Source organism: Homo sapiens, chromosome 12 (assembly GCF_000001405.40).
Source record: "Homo sapiens chromosome 12, GRCh38.p14 Primary Assembly".
NCBI classification, from domain to species: Eukaryota; Metazoa; Chordata; class Mammalia; order Primates; family Hominidae; genus Homo; species Homo sapiens.
Genome location: NC_000012.12, coordinates 96,588,143 through 96,609,948, shown reverse-complemented (window position 1 = coordinate 96,609,948; position 21,806 = coordinate 96,588,143). Strand labels below are relative to the sequence as shown.

The 21,806-nt window shown below is 37.6% G+C and overlaps 1 protein-coding gene across 2 annotated transcripts in view; it reads right to left on the bottom strand.

The window, feature by feature from the left end:
* CFAP54 (cilia and flagella associated protein 54) overlaps window positions 1–21,806 on the bottom strand; it is a 385,979-nt gene that overhangs the window by 265,607 nt on the left and 98,566 nt on the right. For both annotated transcript variants that reach the window (NM_001367885.1, NM_001306084.2), the window contains exons 23-26: window positions 20,386–20,522; window positions 17,312–17,459; window positions 15,503–15,658; window positions 11,182–11,304 (exon numbers count right to left, since the gene is read on the bottom strand). In NM_001367885.1, coding sequence (NP_001354814.1) covers window positions 11,182–11,304; window positions 15,503–15,658; window positions 17,312–17,459; window positions 20,386–20,522 — 564 coding nt within the window. The remainder of the gene's footprint in view (window positions 1–11,181; window positions 11,305–15,502; window positions 15,659–17,311; window positions 17,460–20,385; window positions 20,523–21,806) is intronic.

Here is a 21,806-nt window from a genome sequence, read left to right as displayed (position 1 = left end):
ACTTCTGTGACAATAAGTCTACCTGTTCAGGAACTTGGTGTGACCTGTCCTATATTCAGATCTTATTTTGTGTCCCTCAGTAAGATCCCATGGTTCTTTTATTTAGATTCTTTAACATTTTGTTAAGTTTTAAATATTGTGTATTATGAGTGGTATATCTTACCCTCTCCATTTCTAACTATTGCTAGTATTTTTAAAAACCTATCATTTTGTAAGTGTATTACATAGAATCACTTTACATATTCTCTTTGTAATCCTAGTAATTTTTTTACCAGATCGTCATGGGGTTTTGAGACCAGTACAATTACAGATAAATTATACTTTTCTAATATTATAAAATTATTTTCTATCCTTATCTAGAATATGAGAAAGAACCTCTAAAAATACTGAATCTCACTGTTAGGAGTCAGCATCTATTTCCTGTGGCTGATTTTTAAAGAAATGGCTCCAGAAAATTGCCATTCAGTATGATATTTGCTGTAAAATGTTGGTAAATGTCTTTGTCATTATTCAATAGCTTCTTTCCTTTCCTAATTTATTAGAAATTTTATTAGGAAAGGTTACTAAGTGTTATCAAATGCCTTTGTGGCATTTTTCATATAATCTTATTTGTCTCCTTTACCTTGCTATTGCAAAAAATTCAAGTTTTGTTTTAATTCAGACTCAATTTTTAATACTTGACAATGACACTGTCCTAAGACCAGAAAGTGACCAAATGCCATTCAGGAGCAGAGAAGGGTGATCTGACAGAACAGATTTGAAGGACACTACATAAACACTCTCTGTTCTGATTAATATTTTGGGCCCTGAACTCTGCTTTTTCTGATATGAAAATTGCCTCTCCTCCTTTGTTTGCATTTTCCCAGTACCACTGTCTACCCATTCATTTTTTCAAGCATTGTTTGTCATCGTGTTTTAGGACTGTTTCTTGAAATAGTATACATTTGAACCTAACTTTTTAGCCCATCTGGTAATTTCTGTCTTCTGAATTCCCTCACATTCAGTGAAGTGATCAATATACTTAATTATATTTCTTCCATCTTATATCTTCTCTTTTTCCTTCTTACTTTTGCTGAAAATTAGCCATTTTTTCTCCCTGCCTGTCAGTTTTTCCTGTTCCTGTTTTCTCTCTCTTATTCCTCTCTGTTCATTTTTTCCTCCCTGTCAGTTTAGAAGTCCTACTATGCAGCTGGGCGTGGTGGCTCACGCCTGTAATCCCAGCAGTTTGGGAGGGTGTGGCGGGTGAATGACCTGAGGTCTGAAGTTCGAGACCAGCCTGGACCACATGGTGAAACCCAGTCTCTACTAAAAATACAAAAACTAAGCGGGCGTAGTGGTGCATGCCTGTAATCCCAGCTACTCAGGAGGCTGAGGCATGAGAATCACTTGAACTGGAGAGGCAGAGGTTGCAGTGAGCTGAGATTGAGCCACTGCACTCCAGCCTGGGTGATAGAGTGAGACTCTGCCTCAAAAAAAAAAAAAAAAAAAAGTCCTACTATGCTGTAAAGTTCTGCTCATGGTCACATATTTCTCTGAGTCACCTTTAAACATGTATATAGAGAGACATATTTATATTCTATCAAAAAATAATTTTATATGTATGTGTGTGCGTATGTGTGTGTGTGTGTGTGTGTGTGTGTATATATATATGCATATATAAAATGCACAACCATGCACCAAAAATCTTTACCTGCTCATACCTCTCCTTACGCCAAACACAATGGAAGTTTTAGGTCAAGGTTACTAATAAATTTTTCTTTCAAGAATGACTCTTCTCTTTAAAGAATCCCTACTTAGCATTTATATTACAAAGTCCTAGTCACATCATTATTATCTAATTAATTTTAATAATACATATATTGCAAGATTCATTGCTCCCATTATTCCTCTCCTTTTCGTCTTCCCCTGTCTTGGGATTTCTGTTCTGAATCAATTGTCATTTGATAGAGTATTTCCTCAAGTGTTTTCCTCAGATAAGTACATGGGCAGAATACTTTTTAAATGCCCGCACTTCTGAAAATGTTTATTTTGCCCTGACGAATGATATCTTTCCTGGATATTAATTTTTGGACCTCGGTCTTTTTCCCTCAGGATTCTACAAATGTTGCTCCAGTGTTTTAACTTCTAGCATCACTGATTTAAAAAAAAAAAAAAGTCTGAAGCTAATTGATTCTCTTTCCATTGCAAATAAATGTTCTTTGGGTCACAAAACTTTAAGATTTGTCCTTATCCTTTGACTTCAGGGATTTCACCCACATGTATTTCCATATGTATTCTTATATTAATCCTGCCTGGGACTCAGGAAGCCTATTCCTTCTGCATTTGCTTTTCTTTTCTACCTCCAGACTTCTTTTGTTTTCAAGTTATGACTTCTGGATCTGCCTTTTGAATTCATTTACCACCTCTAGGTAATTCTGTACTATGTTGGAAGGGGTATTTCTTGAGCTTTCAGATTTGACTCAAGAAATACCATAACCATAATTTTCATCTATTTGATTTTTGATTAAAAAATCAAATTCATTTGTTCAGTTACAGAAGGGTTATTTTTGTTTGTTTTCTTTTAGATCACATGATTGTATCTCCTTAAAAGTGCTCTCTGCCTTTTTTTTTTTAACCAAGTCTTCTCTAGTCTTTTTCCAACATGATGAGAGTAAAAACACAATGATTTTGGTGTCTGGCTTGCTCTTCTTCCCTTGGAGTATGGAGTCTCCTTCAGCGAGTAATTGCTTTTTTCTTCCTGCTAATGGCTTATGTTCCCTCAGCATCTACACAGACCAGGTCATAGCAGTCTCTCCAGCACTGGTAAGTCAGTGAGCAATGGAACAAATATTATTTCCTGCTCTTGAGGTCAGGCCATGAACAGAAAGCAAATAATGGCTTCTTTGCTAAGGTGGAGGGTAGAAGCCTCTCTGTTGCAAGACCTCCACAGAAGCAAGCTTACATCCTAACTAAAGCAATGGCTCAAATGAGCTCACCTACACAGCATTCTTCCAGATCTCTGGTCAAACTGCAAAGGTCCTATGAGAACCACATAAAAACAGGCAGGCAGATATGGACGTTCTTTGAGGGAATCACTGGATTCTGTCAATGAAAGCCTTTGAGGAACCACACAATGCTGGTCTTTGAGCCAAGCAACGAGAACAAACAAGCTGACCTCTCTGCCTCTTGTCTCAGTTCCTTCTCGTTTCCAAGGTGAATGAGGTTCCATAAAAAGCCTTTTTCTCAGATATTCTGGCCTAAGATACCCCCTCCAGCCTTTACCAACTGGCCCGCTCAGGCTACTATAATCTGCCAAAATAAAAATTGAAAAAGAGAAAAGTCGGGGATGTGTGATTAAGCTGCTGTCTATTCAGAATTCCTCATCTCTTTACCTTAAAACAAATAGCCTTCCTGCAAGCCTTTGAGCTACAATAAATACTTTCTAGTATTTCTTCTCATTAAAGCCTAAATAAATTTAGTTAACTATTTTAATTGTTTTCCCATATTTTTGTAACAAACACAAAACACGTGGGAATACAGTGATTCTGTTTACAGACAATGCTAAGCACGACTATGGCTATATAGACCTCTTACAATAACTCTCAAGTCAACAGGTTGGGAATCCATTGCTCCACATGAATGGTCTGCCCTGCTGAAACCTGCCCACTCAACTGTAGGCTAAAATTGGTCATGAACCTCTAAGTCTATTCACTTGCATAGTCCTTCATGCCCTCTGCCAACAAAGCTGTTCCTCCTCCATCTGTCTCAGCTCTACTCTTCCTCTTGCTACAGGGTCATCCCGTCTAAAATAGGCTCAGCTCCATAAATCTATCTCCTTTAAATGCTTTTCTTTTTGCTTATAACACTTAAAGCTTCATGAAATTGTATTTTATGCGTATGTTTGTTTTTTGTCACCCCCCCACTAAATCACAAGCTCTGTGAGATGATGTTGGTTTCTTTTTAAATAAAGGATGCCTACAGGTAGGTACACCTAATCTCTAGTTTGTCTCAGGACCCAACAAACCTTGTCTTACATTCAACCAATTCACCAATTATTTTACCTGCTTGGTCTCAGTAGGCATTTGAGTTTGTAACTCTTGCTCAGAGCATACCTAAGTCTCATCCCCAGAGTGAAGCCTTCCCCAATCATCCTATCCCTTAGTGGTCATCTTCCTGCATCCCTGTTGTGTCACCACCATCCGTTCATCACCTAAGCTAGAAACCTGGGTGTCATTCATGATTCATTCTTCTCCTCCTACAATTACTATGGACTTCTCTTTAATTCTTCATGCATATGTCAAGAGCCCAAACCAGTGCCTGACACAAATAGGTAATCGTAAATACATATTGAATGAAGGAATGAAACAAAAATGAAAAATCTGTTTCTATTCTGACCACACTCTTGCCTATGTCTTCTCGTGGGTTTAGATGTCCAGATACAGCACTCTTGACTGGCACAGTCTGAATTCACCTCTCCAGTTTGTCCTTTTTGAGTTCAGGGTCCTGCACACCAATCTCAGAATTGTCCTTAGAGTCTGCCTAGTCAGCCCTTTCCTTCAGGCCTAACATTATTGTTTACATTCTAATGTCATGAGATTAACACACCCCTCCATTACTGATTGACTCTTCACTTATAATCCAGCTGTTTGGTTTCTTGATACCTTCTAAGCCCCACTGTCTCAATGGCTGGGTTAAGATACTTAAAGTCTGCCTGCAGGTTCCACTAAAATCACAACCTGATAAGATGATATGCAGGTTTAACGCAGTATAATAAATATATAATTAATGTTTTAGGGTTTAAACAAATACGTTCTGTGTGACCATATATAATGCTTATAAAATATACAAATGCAGTCGCTTCCAAGATGGCTGAATCGGAACAGCTCCAGTCTACAGCTCCAAGCAAGATCAACGCAGATGACAGGTGATTGCTGCATTTCCAACTGAGGTACCTGGTTTATCTCATTGGGGCTGGTTGGACAGTGGGTGCAGCCCATGGAGGGCCAGCCAAAGCAGGGCAGGGCGTCACCTCACCCAGAAAGCACAAGGGTTTGGGGGATTTACCTTTCCTAGAAAAGGGAAGCCATGAGTGACTATACCTGGAGGAACGGTACACTTCTGCCCAAATACTGCGCTTTTCCCATGGTCTTTGCAACCAGCAGACCAGGAGATTCCCTCCCATGCCTGGCTTGGCAGGTCCCATGCCCATGGAGCCTTGCTCGCTGCTAGCACAGCAGTCTGAGATCAACCTGGGATGCTAGAGCTTGGCAGGCAGAAGGACATCCACCACTGCTGAGGCTTGAGTAGGTGGTTCTATGCTCACAGTGTAAACAAAGTGGCAGGGAAGCTCAAACTGGGCAGAGCCCACCACACTCAGCAAGGCCTACTGCCTCTCTAGATTCCACCTCTAGGGGCAGGGCATATCTGAATAAAAGGCAGCAGACAGCTTTGGCAGACTTAAATGTCCCTGCCTGACAGCTCTGAAGAGAGCAGTGGTTCTCCCAGCATGGCGATTGAGCTCCGATAATGGACAGACTGCCTCCTCAAGTGGGTCCCTGACCCCTGTGTAACCTGACTGGGAGACACCTCCTGCCAGTAGGGCCAACAGACACCTCAAACAGGCAGGTGCCCCTCTGGAACGAAGCTTCCAGAGGAACGATCAGGCAGCAATATTTGCTGTTCTGTGGCCTCCACTGGTGATGCCCAGGCAAACAGGGTCTGGAGTGGACCTCCAGCAAACTCCAACAGAACTGCAGCTGAGGGGCCTATTAGAAGGAAAACTAACAAATGAAAGGAATAGCATCAACATCAACAAAAAGGGCATCCACACCAAAACCCCATTTGTAGGTCACCAACATCAAAGACCAAAGTTAGATAAAACCACAAAGATGGGGAGAAACCAGAGCAGAAGGGCTAAAAATTCCAAAAAACAGAACGCCTCTTCTCCAAAGGAACACAACTCCTCACCAGCAAGGGGACAAAACCAGATGGAGAATGAGTTTGATGAGTTCACAGAAGTAGGCTTCAGAAGGTCAGTAATAACAAACTTCTCCAAGCTAAAGGAACACGTTCTAACCCACCGCAAGGAAGCTAAAAACCTTGAAAAAAGGTTAGACGAACGGCTAACTAGAATAAACAGTGTAGAGAAGACCTTAAATGACCTGATGTAGCTGAAAACCACAGTACAAGAACTGTGTGAAGCATAAAAAAGCTTCAGTAGCCGATTCGATCAAGTGGAAGAAAGGATATCAGTGATTGAAAGTCAAAGTAATGAAATAAAGGGAGAAGACAAGATTAGAGAAAAAAGAGTAAAAAGAAACGAACAAAGCCTACAAGAAATATGGGACTATGTGAAAAGACCAGATCTACGTCTGATTGGTGTACCTGATAGTGACGGGAGAATGGAACGAAGTTGGAAAACACTCTGCAGGATATTATCCAGGAGAATTTCCCCAACCTAGCAAGGCAGTCCAACATTCAAATTCAGGAAATACAGAGAACGCCACAAAGATACTCCTCAAGAAGAGCAACTCCAAGACACATAATTGTCAGATTCACTAAAGTTGAAATGAAGGAAAAAATGTTAAGGGCAGCCAGAGAGAAAGGTAGGGTTACCCACAAAGGGAAACCCATCAGACTAACAGTGGATCTCTTGGCAGAAACCCTACAAGCCAGAAGAGAGTGGGGGACAATATTGAACATTCTTAAAGAAAAGAATTTTCAAACCAGAATTTCATATCCAGCCAAACTAAGCTTCATAAGTAAGGAGAAATGAAATCCCTTACAGACAAGTAAATGCTGAGAGATTCTGTCACCACCAGGCCTCCCTTACAAGAGCTCCTGAAGGAAGCACTAAACATAGAAAGGAACAACTGGTACCAGCCACTGCAAAAACATGCCAAATTGTAAAGACCATTGACACTATGAAGAAAGTGTATCAATTAACGGGCAAAATAAACAGCTAGCATTGTAACGACATGATCAAATTCACACATAACAATATTAACCTTAAATGTAAATGGGCTAAGTGCTCCAATTAAAAGACACAGACTGGCAAATTGGATAAAGGGTCAAGACCCATTGGTGTGCTGTATTCAGGAGACCCATCTTACATGCAAAGACACACATAGTCCCAAAATAAAGGGATAAAGGAAGATCTACCAAGCAAACAGAAAGCAAAAAAAAGCAGGGGTTGCAATCCTGGTCTCTGATAAAACTGACTTTAAACCAACAAAGATCAAAAGAGACAAAGAAGGCCATTAAATAATGGTAAAGGGATCAATTCAACAAAATGAGGTAACTATCCTAAATATATATGCACCCAATACAGGAGCACCCAGATTCATAAAGCAAGTCCTTAGAGACCTACAAAGAGACTTAGACTCCCACACAATAATGATGGCAGACTTTAACACCCCACTGTCAATATTAGACTGATCAATGAGAGAGAAAATTAACAAGGATATCAAGGACTTGAACTCATCTCTGGAACAAGGAGACCTAATAGACATCCACAGAACTCTCCACCCCAAATCAACAGAATATACATTCTTCTTGGCACCACATCGCACTTATTCTAAAATTGACCACATAATTGGAGGTAAAACACTCCTCAGCAAATGTAAAAGAACAGAAATCACAACAAACTGTCTCTCAGACCAGAGTGCAATCAAATTAGAACTCGGGATTAAGAAACTCACTCAAAATTGCACAACTACATGGAAACTGAACAACCTGCTCCTGAATGACTGCTGGGTAAATAACAAAATGAAGGCAGAAATAAAGATCTTCTTTGAAAGCAATGGAACAAAGACAAAACATATCAGAATCTCTGGCATACATTTAAAGCAGTGTGTAGAGGGAAATTTATAGCACTAAATGCCCACAAGAGAAAGCAGGGAAGATCTAAGATTGACACCCTAACATCACAATTAAAAGAAATAGAGAAGCAAGAGCAAACACATTCAAAAGCTAGCAGAAGACAAGAAATAACTAAGATCAGAGTAGAACTGAAGGAGATAGAGACACAAAAAAGCCTTCAAAAAATCAATGAATCCAGGAGCTCGTTTTTTGAAAAGATCAACAGAATTGATAGACTGCTAGCAAGACTAATAAAGAAGAAAAGAGAGAAGAATCAAATAGATGCAATAAAAAATGATAAAGGGGATATCACCACCAATCCCACAGAAATACAAACTACCAGCAGAGAATACTATAAACACCTCTATGCAAATAAACTAGAAAATCTAGAAGAAATGGATAAATTCCTGGACACATACACCCTCTCAGGACTAAACAAGGAAGAAGTTGAATCTCTGAATACATCAATAACAGGTTCTGAAATTGAGGTAATAATTAATAGCATACCAACCAAAAAAAAGTCCAGGACCAGATGGATTCACGGCCGAATTCTACCAGAGGTAGAAGGAGGAGCTGGCACCATTCTTTCTGAAACTATTCCAATCAATAGAAAAAGAGGGAATCCTCCCTAACTCATTTTGTGAGGTCAGCATCATGCTGATACCAAAGCCTAGCAGAGACACAACAAAAAAGAGAATTTCAGGCCATTATCCCTGATGAACATCGATGTGAAAATCCTCAATAAAATACTGGCAAACCAAATCCAGCAGCACATCAAAAAGCTTATCCACCACGATCAAGTGGGCTTCATCCCTGGGATGCAAGGCTGGTTCACATACACAAATCAGTAAATGTAATCTATCACATAAACAGAACCAAGGACAAAAACCACATGATTATCTCAATAGATGCAGAAAAGGCCTTTGACAAAATTCAACAGCCCTTCATGTCAAAAACTCTCAATAAACTAGATATTGATAAAATGTATCTCAAAATAATAAGAGCTATTTATGACAAACCCACAGCCAATATCACTGAATGGGCAAAACCGGAAGCATTCCCTTTGAAAAGCAGCACAAGACAAGGATGCCCTCTCTCACCACTCCTATTCAACATAGTATTGGAAATTCTGGCCAGGTCAATCGGGTAAGAGAAAGAAATAAAGGGTATTCAATTAGGAAAAGAGGAAGTCAAATTGTCTCTGTTTGCAGATGACATGATTGTATATTTAGAAAACCCCATCATCTCAGCCCAAAATCTCCTTAAGCTGATAAGCAGCTTCAGCAAAGTCTCAGAATACAAAATCAATGTGCAAAAATCACAAGCATTCCTATACACCATTAACAGACAAACAGAGAGTCAAATCATGAGTGAACTCCCATTCACAAATGCTACAAAGAGAATAAAATACCTAGGAATCCAAAGGACAACTACAAACCACTGCTCAACGAAATAACAGAGGACACAAACAAATGGAAGAACATTCCATGCTCATGGATAGGAAGAATCAATATCGTGAAAATGGCCATATTGCCCAAGGTAATTTATAGATTCAGTGCCATCCCCATCAAGCTACCAATGACTTTCTTCACAGAATTGGGAAAAAACTACTTTAAGTTTTATAGGAAACCAAAAAAGAGTCCACATAGCCAAGACAATCCTAAGCAAAAAGAACAAAGCTGGAGGCATCACTCTACCTGACTTCAAATTATACTACAAGGCTACAGTAACCAAAACAGCATGGTACTGGTACCAAAACAGATACATAGGCCAATGGACTCAGAAATAACACCACACATCTACAACCATCTGATCTTTGAAAAACCTGAAAAAAATAAGCAGTGGGGAAAGGATTCCCTATTTAATAAATGGTGCTGGGAAAACTGGCTAGCCATATGTAGAAAGCTGAAACTGGATTCCTTCCTTACACCTTACACAAAAATTAACTCAAGATGGATTAAAGACTTAAATGTAAGACCTGAAACCATAAAAACCCTAGAAGAAAACTGGCAATACCATTCAGGACATAGGCATGGGCAAAGACTTCATGACTAAAACACCAAAAGCAATGGCAACAAAAGCCAAAATAGAAAAATGGAATCTAATTAAAGAACTTCTGCACAGCAAAAGAAACTATCATCAGAGCGAACAGGCAACCTACAGAATGGGAGAAAATTTTTGCAATCTATCCATCTGACAAAGGGCTAATATCTAGAATCTACAAAGAACTTAAACAAATTTACAAGAAAAAAACAAACAACCCCAAAAAGTGGGCAAAGGATATGAACAGACACTTCTTAAAAGAAGACATTTATGCAGCCAACAGACACATGGAAAAATGCTCATCATCACTGGTCATCAGAGAAATGCAAATCAAAACCACAATGAGATACCATCTCACACCAGTTAGAATGGCGATCATTAAAAAGTCAGGAAACAGCAGATCCTGGAGAAGGTGTGGAGAAATACAACGTTTTTACACTGTTGATGGGAGTGTAAATTAGTTCAACCATTGTGGAAGACAGTGTGGCAATTCCTCAAGGATCTAGAACTAGAAATACCATTTGACCCAGTGATCCCATTATTGGGTATATATCCAAAGGATTCGAAATCATTCTGCTATAAAGACACATGCACATGTATGTTTATTGTGGCACTATTCACGATAGCAAACACTTGGAACCAACCCAAATGTCCATCAATAATAGACTGGATAAAGAACATGTGGCACATATACACCATGGAATACTATGCAGCCATAAAAAAGGATGAGTTCATGTCCTTTGCAGGGACATGGATGAAGCTGGAAACCATCATTCTCAGCAAAATATCACAAGGACAGAAAACCAAACACCATATGGTCTCACTCATAAGTGGGAGCTGAACAATGAGAACACATTGACACAGGAAGGGGAACATCACACATCAGGGCTTATTGGGGGGTGGGGGGCTGGGGGAGGGATAGTATTAGGAGAAATACCTAATGTAAATGATGAGTTGATGGGTGCAGCAAACCAACATGGCATATGTATACCTATGTAACAAACCTGCACGTTGTGCACATGTAGCCTAGAACTTAAAGTATAATAATAAATATATAGATAGATATACTAATGCTATTTCAATAACATCAAGTTTTAGTTTGTGAAGCACCACAGTTTCATCAAAAAGTTCAACAACAGATTGCTATTCTATAATGTTTGGCCTCTACATTTGCTTTTGATCTAAAAATGCTTTTAGGGTGCCATTTTTAAAAGTGTTCTTATTGTGATTAAAAGTAGACTTTCCAAATCATCATCGCTCCTAAATATTATAATACTAGATAAAGAATGAGATAAATACCTTTGTTATGTAGAAAATACAACAAGCTATCATGTGTTGTATACTTTCAAAGCTCGCAGTATGTTTCTTCGAGCAGACAATACTTGGTAGTCCTTGCAAAACCACTATACACTTTATCAGGATCTAAAAATTAGAATCACAATGATTTTTGTTTTAAAATGTCATCCTTACTCATTTCATTAGAAAATGTTCCATTCAAATAATGCAAGCTTTAAGACATAAAATTTTGTTATCAATAATTATTGATAAATTGTTTATTAGGAATAAAGGAGAGTACACTGAGATAAAGTTGATACATTCAATTTTGAGATTAGTCCTTCACCTACAGCAACTTGAAAATCAGTGGAAAGAATAAAATAAAACACAAATGACTATAAAACAAAGCATATTTTGATAAGTATCATAAAAGGTATAGTCAGAATGTGACATGTATTTGAAAAACTATCACATCCAGGTATAGAAGGAACTTGAAAAACCAAATGGAAGCTTATATGGCATATTAAATATTACATAGTGATTCCAGGTACTTGAAATAATAGTTTCCTTTAAAATTAAAACCAAACATTCATATCTCAGGAAATCAACTAATATTGGTACTTACTTCCTATTCTCCTTGCTTCGTATTATATGATCTTAAATTTGATCAAGAGCTAGACGAATAGCTTTTCAAAGGTAGTGTGAGATTGCATCAATCATTCACCATTTAGATTAACCCAAAGGACAAATTAATATATGAATGTTGGTTCTTTGGGGGCACATTAATTGCTTCAAGCTCTCATTCTAACAATACTGTTACTATTGTTACAGTACACTCATCTCTAAGACTTTTTAAATTCCTCCCCACCCTAATCAGCCTCTCCCATGCTACCATATCATATCCCTAAATCATGTGAACACCCTAGTAGTTTTGGAGTTTTCCCGAAGCTCATATAAATATAAATACATACATGTGTATAAAAACATAATGTACCTAGGAGGGTTGTTGTTTTACAAAATGGGATTTATAAATACTTTTCTGAAGTGTGTATTTTTTCCTTCAACCATATCTTTGGTTGTGAACATTTCTCACCAGACATGGTTTTTGGACAACCATGTCTGGTGAGAAATGCTGTAAGTCTACAGGTATAGCTCTAATTCATTGTTTGTTTCTAATGGCTGCATAATATTATTTGGTGTGGATCAGCCATTATTTACTCAGCCTTTTCTAGGACTTCATGGTACACATTTTCATGGTTGTACAATCTGGGGGTACTGTTACTTCTCTTTGTCACCAGCTTTTTTGCCAACACCAAGAATGTCACAGTAAATACCCTTTTACATGCTCAGTTGCCAACTATGATTAGCAATCAAGATGCCGGCTTTGAGATGATACCCAGTGAAGATGAGATACCATCCTCCAGAACACAGTATACATTCTAAACCAATGACAGTACATAACACTGTGTCCCAGTAGGTTCCTCAGGTCCAGGAACCAAGAGGTGGAACTAGGAGTGACATTATTTCAAATGGAGGTTTTATTCTATAAGATAAATTACTAACAGAAGAATTGTTGTGTCAGATAAATGTATTTTTAATTTTATTAAAATTTTATTCTACAGGATAAATTACTAGCAGAGGGACTACCGTGTCAGGTATATTTGTTTTTAATCTTGCTTAAAATTAGATTTAATTTAATTTAAATTAAAATTACTTTACCAAAATTCAAATGCTTGTAACAATTCACATTTCCCCCATGTATGAATGAGAATGCAATTGCCCCACATCTTCACCAGCAAATCTTTTCAATCCTGCCAGTGATATTACATTGTTAATTTAATGTGAATTTCTATGAGTATTTAGAATTTGAGCATCTTTTCATATGTTTCTCACTCACTTGGATTTGCTCTCCTGTGAACTGCTTATTCATATCCTGTGCCTATTTTTCTATTAGGTTATTGTCAGTTTGTAAGACTTTTTGTTATACATGTATATATACTTGCCCTCTGTCGCATTTGGAGATATTTTTTTTCCAAATCTGTAAATGTTCTTCTATCTTTGTTATAGTCCTTTTTGTTACACATAGGTTCTTTGTTGCTGTTAGAAGTTCAGTCTTGGTTAGAAATGTTTCCCCCCAAACCCCGGACTGCACACGTCATCTCCTGGGAAATTTTTCCTAAAGTTTTTGCTTTATTTTACACTTAAGTCTTTGATAAATCTGGACTTTTTGTACATGGTACAAATAGGGGTCAAACTCTATTTTCTCTCAGATGAATATCTAGACATTTTACCATCATTTAGTAAAAATGTCCATTCTCTTTCCACTGAATGGGAATGACAACTCTGTCATATATTACATTCTCATATATATTGAGGCCTATTTCTGGAAACTACCCTCTGTTCTACTGATCTTTTCCAATTCCAAACAATACAATTCAATTAGAGACTTCTTTCCTAAGACTTCCCATAGCTATAATCCATTCTCTAGCCAAAGGTATCCTGAATCAGTGGGATTCTAGAAAGTAACAGTGGACTACCGTAAACTCAGCCAATTGAGCAGCTGCTGTTCCCAATGTGGTATCTTTGCTAAGCTAACACATATTAAAAGGTATGCATTGATATAGCTAATGTTTTCTTTTCTATCCGAGTTCTCATTAACACTGGACAGATGAAAGTATGCATTTCAAGTCTTGTCCCAAGACAATGAATATTCTTATAACTTCTGACATAATTTTATGTGAAAGGATATGAACTTTCTGGACATTCCTCAAAACAAAACATTGGGCCACTATATCAATGACATCATGTTACTCAGACTTAATGATCAAGAAATGTGAAGTACATTGAAGACCTTGATAAACACCTTCCAATGGGTAAAAATAGACTCAATGAAGGTTCAGAGGGCTGCCACATTAAATATCTGGGGGAGGCTGGGATACCCCCTCCAAAGTAGGTCTGATATCTGGCATCTCTCACCTTTAAAAAGAAAGACCATACCAGGTCGGCACCTTTGGGTTTTGGATGAACCATACTCCACACTTGAGAGAAATGCTCTATCTATTTACAACTGACCCAGAAGGCTGTCAACTATGAGTCTAGATTTTAGACTCTGGAGGCAGATCTCCAGCAGCTGTAGGGAATGTAGGAGGAGACACACCTATGCTCCGTAGAGCCCCTCCAAGGTGAATCTTTTTTAAGTTACTCAAGCTGTCTAGTTAGTCTTCTTGATCATGTACTAAAAATGTTTGGACTTTGTGTGAGTTCACTCACATCTTCTAGGATGACAAAAAATGTGTCAGTGATGATCATGATGCTGACAATGACAGTGACAATGACGGCGATAACTTTCTGCAAGTCTCAGCAGCAAAATCTTACATCTCTCATTACTTTCCTGTGGTAAGCAGAATTCTAAGATGGTCCCCAAGATTCTTCCCCCTGGTGTACATGCCCTGTATGATTCCTTCCCCTTGAGTGTGGGTGGGGCTCCTGAATGTGATAAGCTCATCAGTCTCATGATTTCATTACCCTAGATAAGGCTCCTCACAGCATACTGGAGGAGACTCTCCAACAGCCTTGAAAAGGCAAAGGGCCATGATGTGGAAGGGCCATGTGGCAAGGAATTAGTAGTTGGCCTTTAGGAGCTAAGGACCTCCTATGTAAAACCTCAAGGAAATGAATTCTATCAATAACAGTGAACTCAGAAAAGGACCTCAAGCCTCAGAGGAAATCACAGCCCTGGCCAAGACTTTGATTTCAACCTCATAAGACCCTAAACAGAAGACCCAGCTAACCCATATTCAACCTCTTAACCCACAGAAACTATGAGAATGTAAATGAGTGTCCTTTCAAGCCACTAAATCCATGGTGATATGTTAAGAAACATGAAAAACTATATAATCCCTTCAGCCAGGTCTCAGCTACCCTTTTTCTGTAAATCCTAACTCCTCCATCACCAAGACACCAGGTATTTTGTCTTGGGTCTCCCACCATGTTTTTCTCCAGATGATGGATTTAACAATATGCCTTGAATAAATGTTGTTTCTGACACTACAAGAACATAAAAATTAAAATAACTTTAAAACTCTAGAAAGGTAAATTGCCAATATTTAAATATGGACAGGAACAGGGACGAATATTTTCAGAGAAACCTATTTTATGTCCTTATCTATATGTGCCCAGACATATAATTTATTAAAGTGTTTTTCAGTTAACTCCTAAAATTTCATAATACTGATTCCTGACCTATTTGCCCTTTATAAGAGATACATGGCTTTTCTTTTCTAAAATGAATTGTTAAGTTGCCTTTATAAAGATTCCCTTCTCTTGGGGAGAGGAATACCCTTACCTGTACAACAGGTACCAAAACAATATTGTGATAAATTATGGGAGCAAGAAGTCCATAACATTGAGTCACAGCTTGAAGGGCATAGCTGGAATCATTTAGGAAGTTGCTAAGTTCCAATGCCACTAATACTCTCTCACATTCAATCAGTCTGGCAATCTGTAAAGAAACAGGCATTGTTACTCAGATTGAACATAGGTGCTTAGCGTATGTGTCTCTACGGAGAATGGGTAGAAAATGTGATCCTTCTGGCTAAAAACAACATGAGTGTTTGTATTTTAAAAAATCTAAATTCAGAAACAACTCTAACTCTCCAATAATGCTACCTATAGATAGCACGATCTTAGAATTAAACTTCAAAATTTTTTATAAAACAATACAAGTGCCATAACAGAAACCAGTTTTTTTATCAATAAGCTAAAAACTTGGCTATATTTTTATGTTTAAAAAATCTAGTTTTCAAAAATATAAATTATATTAACAATTAAAATATATAACATCTCTATAATATTGCCCCCATTTGATTAACAGGTTCTCATTTCCTTTTTTGATTTGAAAGAAAACGGTAAATTTTCAGTAAACCAAGCTAACCTCCTATTATGCTTCTGCTAATTATACTTCTGCTACTTAAATTTAAATGATAGTAAAATGTAAAGTTAAGGTTTTGAGAGTAAATGCCACTTAAAAAGAATAGTTAGCCTTTCTTACTCCTCTTTTTCCTTTCCTGGGGAAAGATTTCATTATTTTTCTATATATATATATTCAAGATTATGTATAAAGAAACTGTCTGAGTGGTAACCAGAAATTTCCATGTAGTCAGTTTTTACTAAAATGGTAGTCTAGCATTCTGGAATTCACTGAAGTACTTGAAAATTGTCTTTGTTTTCAGATTGAATACGCTGAAAGAAGAAACTGAAGGCAATTTAGTAGGAACAGGTTGAGATGGTTGTGAGTACTTGGGCTCTACAGGACAGTGAACTTGTCTGGGGCAAAGAATCATTTTTTCCACTTTTATATCCCCAGAAACTGGCATAGTCCCATGTAACAAGGTCTTGGTTAATTAATTAATTAGTTAATGGATGGGTAGGAAATAGCAACTGTAAAAAACATAGACAGCTAAAACATCCATACCTAAAGAAGGAAAGAGAGAAAGAAAAGTGAACTTCAAGCAGGAATGAAAAAAAAATAATGTAGGATCATTACTAAATACAAGAGCATTATAGAGTTGCAGATGTACATACAGCAATGTTCATAACCACACTGAGAATCTATCAATAGGAGATAGGTTACATTCCTGCCTCCATGAAGACAATATTATAATTGAAACAAATGTGACAGATTGATATATAACAGCATGAAAATATGTGCAAGATAGATTATAAAAGTGTTAAAAAGGCAAGTTGCAGAATAGCAAGTAGATCATAATCCCATTTTCATAAATAATAATAACAGATTTGTCTAGGCATATGTTCTTAAATTAGAGAAATTATATGAAAGCAAAATTGTTGTATTCTTAGAGGTAATAAGATTACAACGGGTTTCACTTTATACATTATATATTTTCAAATGTCTGAAATATATAATACTTTTACACACAGGGGGAAAAGAGATAAATTGAAAAGAAGAGAAAAAAACATGAACTCAGGCCTGTGAAACTTATATGAAATATCACATAAAGTCGCATAATCATACAATGTCCTTTCAGTCCATTCACCAGACAAGCTATGCAATCACTCAAAAAACATGATCTTAAAACATCAAGAAAAAAATACAGTGAATCTGACATGTTTTTAGTCACTTTAATTCACTTACTTGTTGAGATGGGAAAATCTCATTGCCTTTAATATTATCACAGAAAAGATTTTCTTCTTTAATTTTGATGTCACTTGTTACAAAAATATTTCTAAGAAAAAGGTACAAGAGGATTGAAGAAGTCTCTGCCAAAATATCTGAATGTAATCTGCAATATGAAGTAAATGGCAGGTATAAATATAAATTGATTTAGCAGGTCAACTGGTCTTTTTACATTGATTTGTTCTCAGTATCTACACAAAGATCCCAAAAAAGCAACAAAAGTATTTAGAACAGCTATTCTTGCACAGACAAGCTCACAACTAAGAAAATTAAACTACTGAAATATTATGTCACAGATACACAAAATTAATTAGTGGCAATTTTGGGGGTTCTAATACATAAAGTTATTTTTTATCAAGATAACAAAATCACTATAGATTTTCAGAATCTAGATGTCACTGTCCAATTTTTCTATCTCTGTGACAACGATCACTTACTGATTTTGCTCACTCATTCTTTCTTTCATTCACGCTAACTAACAATTGATGAATGCCTACTATGTACAAGACACTGTTCTAGACCCTTAGGTATAAAGATGAATCAAATGGAATCTTTAGCCACTAGGAGCTGGGCTTCAGTACAAATTCATGTTCGATTACATCAACTGAGTCATTACTGCATCTCAATAACAATTCCATTTATCCCTGATGTCTCCTTGTTCACATTCCCCACAAAAAAAAAAAAATATTTCTTTTTTTTTTTTTTGAGACGGAGTTTCGCTCTGTCGCCCAGGCTGGAGTGCAGTGGCGCGATCTCGACTCACTGCAAGCTCCGCCTCCCGGGTTCACGCCATTCTCCTGCCTCAGCCTCCCGTGTAGCTGGGACTACAGGCACGCGCCACCATGCCCGGCTAATTTTTTTTGTATTTTTAGTAGAGACGGGGTTTCACCGTGTTAGCCAGGATGGTCTCGATCTCCTGACCTCGTGATCCGCCCGTCTCGGCCTCCCAAAGTGCTGGGATTACAGGCGTGAGCCACCGCGCCCGGCCAAAAAAAAATATTTCTAAATCCTTTGTTCTTTCCACCCCATAAGCTCTTATGTCCTCCAGGCTCGACCACCATAGTGTTATCATCGCCTACATTTTCTTCTTCAGTCTCTCTCTCTCTACTGGCTGCCTTTTCTCCACACTCCACAATTCTTTCCTTCAGCCTGCCTCCCCACTAAGCTTCTGCCTGCTCTCCTCCTCTTTACCACCAAACTTCACATGAGTGGTCTTTGCTTGTTAGGATTTTTCATTTTCTTTTTTTTCCTTAGCGAATTGCAAAATGATTTCCGGCCTATCATGCTACAAAAGTGGCTCTCTTGAATTCACCAATGGCCTGCTAATTGCCAACTCTTCTTCATTTGTGTTCTACTCAACCCTCTCTGTGGCATTTTATTGAGCAGCTGCTCTGCCTGACCTGGCACTGATATTTAATATCTCTGGCCAGTCCCTCTTTGGTGATACTTTCACTTTCCCTAGCAATGCACTTTCTTGGACTTTCATTTTCTGGACAGCTTCTTTTCAATATCCTTCCTTGGTTCCATCTCCTAATTCTGCTTCCTAAATGTTAAGCAATGCCTAGGGTTCAATTCCGGCCTTCTGTCTTTTCTGTTAAACAGTCGTTTCCTGGGAGATACCATTCATTTTCAAGATCTTGATGATGAACTCAATGGACAATTTCTAAATCTGTATCTCTAGCCTTGATGCTCTCCTGAGTGTCAGCACTAGATAAATAAACCTACTGGCATCTCATATTCACAAAGGCGTCCTGCTGGAAAACCAAACTCAAAATATTCTCAATGAAATTAATCATCTTCCTCTAAGAACTTGTTCTACCTCTCATATCCCCTTAGTAAATGTCACAGACTTCTCAGTCAGTTAACACCAGAAATCCCAGTCACTTTTCACTCCTTTCTCTCTTATCCCCACAAGTCGCATAATATCTAAGTCCTGTCTCTTCCTCCTCTAAAATGCCTCTGAAACCCATACCCCCATAGCACATAGCATCCTTGTACATAGAAAATGCTAAGTCTGCATTTGTTTATTTGAATGGAATTATCAACGCCTTGCCTGAAGCAATATTTGCATATTTAAGCTCATTATTTTTGATTGAGGAATGAAGGGTTGTCTCCTTATTTTAAAACTTTCAGGCATTAACAACCAGGTGAGGGAGATTCTTGTTGCTTTTGAATTTGTTGAGACCGCCTGAAATTACAGTAATGCTCATTTCTGAGCCTGCTTCAAAACTTTGTTCTTTTAAGGAAAATGGCAGTAAAGACGAAGGATAGTAATTTTATATGGCTTCTACTGGCCTATTTGCAGTTGCCAATGGTGTAATCCTGGGAGCCCCTTCTAGCAAAAGAAAAGCCTTCTTACCCTAACAGTCAACCTGTCAGACCATAACCTTAACCCCAATTTGACCTTTCCCTGGTATAAAAGTTCCCAATGAATATTTGTGTTTTACGATATAACTGATATTACTTTGGTTTGTAGTTGGTATTTTTATTTCATAACCTTCAACCTTATGCCTCTAGTGTTTTTGCTGACTCTAGAAAGAAAGTTTCTTGGCCGGGCATGGTGGCTTATGCCTGTAATCTCGGCACTTTGGAAGGCTGAGGTGGGCAGATCACTTGAGGCCAGGAGTTCGAGACCAGTCTGGCCAGCATGGCAAAACCCCATCTCTACTAAAAATACAAAAATTAGCAGGGCGTGGTGGTGCACACCTGTAATCCCAGCTACTCGGGAGGCTGAGGCATGAGAATCACCTCAGCCCAGGAGGCAGAGGTTGCAGTGAGCCAGGATCATGCCACTGCACTCCAGCCTGGGTGACAGAGTGAGTGAGTATTAAAAAAAAGAAAGAAAGAAAGAAAGAAAGTTTCTAACAAGCACATGAGACCTTGCAATGCATACTCTTATTACAATAGTTATTAGAAATGATGATTGTATATGGACTATCTGAACATGATATTAAAAATAATTCCAGGCTTCGCATCCAGCATCTATATTTTCAATAAGCAAATTAATATTTTAGAAGAATATTTCTAATTACCTTCTTTGTGTAATAGTAATTATATTGCTTAAACAAATAACAGATTGTTCATCCTGAAGTGGCGAAGCAACAAAATAATCCCAAACTGGTGAGAAAACTTTCTTAGCCAATTCATAGTTACCAACTTGATAGGCAACCTATAACAAAAAGCACATATTTATGTAATAGTTTTATTCGTGAATGAATGTTTTAAACAATAATTCTTAAAATATACAATCTATGACAGCATTTTATAAGGTGCTATCACACGCTCATTTCAGATACAATCATTCACATTTGCTGTTCTGTTCTATAGTGCCATGGTCAGGTAACGGCCAATGGCAAGGGAGACAGATACATTTTTGAAATCTCTTTTATTTCTAAATTGCATGGAAATTTGAAACTCTGTAAGGATGTTTCAAATCCTTATAAGCAAAACAAAGATCACATCTGAGCCAAATTAATTTCATTTCCATCTATCTCAGCAGTGCACTCCATTTATTATAGATACTGTTATAATGAACAATCTGTTCCAAGAGAAACAATCAGATTTCCCAAACCCAATATGTGAAAAATACTTCATTCTTTTCTGGTTCTGACTGATACTTTCAGAGCTTCTGTGCAACAAAAAGTTCACGAGCTGAAAAGAGTATAGAATAAAACAGAGAAGCTTTCCAAGAAGACATTATATGTTTTAAGTTTAACAAATTTAACATTAGGCAAAATAAATAATTTCACTGGTGAAGCCTAGAAGTTCAAAAGAAAAAAACTGACTTACCTATTTTTTATGGTAGAATATATTTCTTTAAAGACGTTCCTAAAAAGCACTCCATTAAATATGTAAATAACAATATAAAATCTCACCAAATGAGTTCTACACTGCTTCAAATCCTTTATGGAAACAGCTAAGGTATGAAGTATAAATGCATTCATGGAATGAAGTAAGTGAATGACAAGTTACTAGAATATTCTCCACTCCAGGGAATAACTTAGAGGGCCAGAACTCTCGAATCTGCCAATGAATACTCATGATCTCCAACCAGTAAGCTTTTATGAAGTTTCTAGTCTGTGTTAGGCACTGTAGAGATAGACTCTTCAAAGTTTAGATAGAGATGGTATCAAACTCTATGAAACTGGAATTAGGTTAAAGGCATAAAACCCATAACATCACAGAAAAACTACAAAGAATAACATAATAATTGCAGAGGCTTTAGAAAAGGAGACATGAAGATTTCAAGGAAAAGGCAGGGCTTGAGTTGAACCCTAAGGCAGAGATAAGATTCAGATCAGCACAGTTAAAACAGAATCTCCAAAAGGTCCAGTAATGGAAATGACTCTAAAATACATTTAAGAGAGACTGGAGAGGCAGGTCAGAGTTTGAAAAAAGAAAAAAAGTAGACATTTCATCCCTGCAAGGTCTGAGATGAAAAAAAAATGAAAAG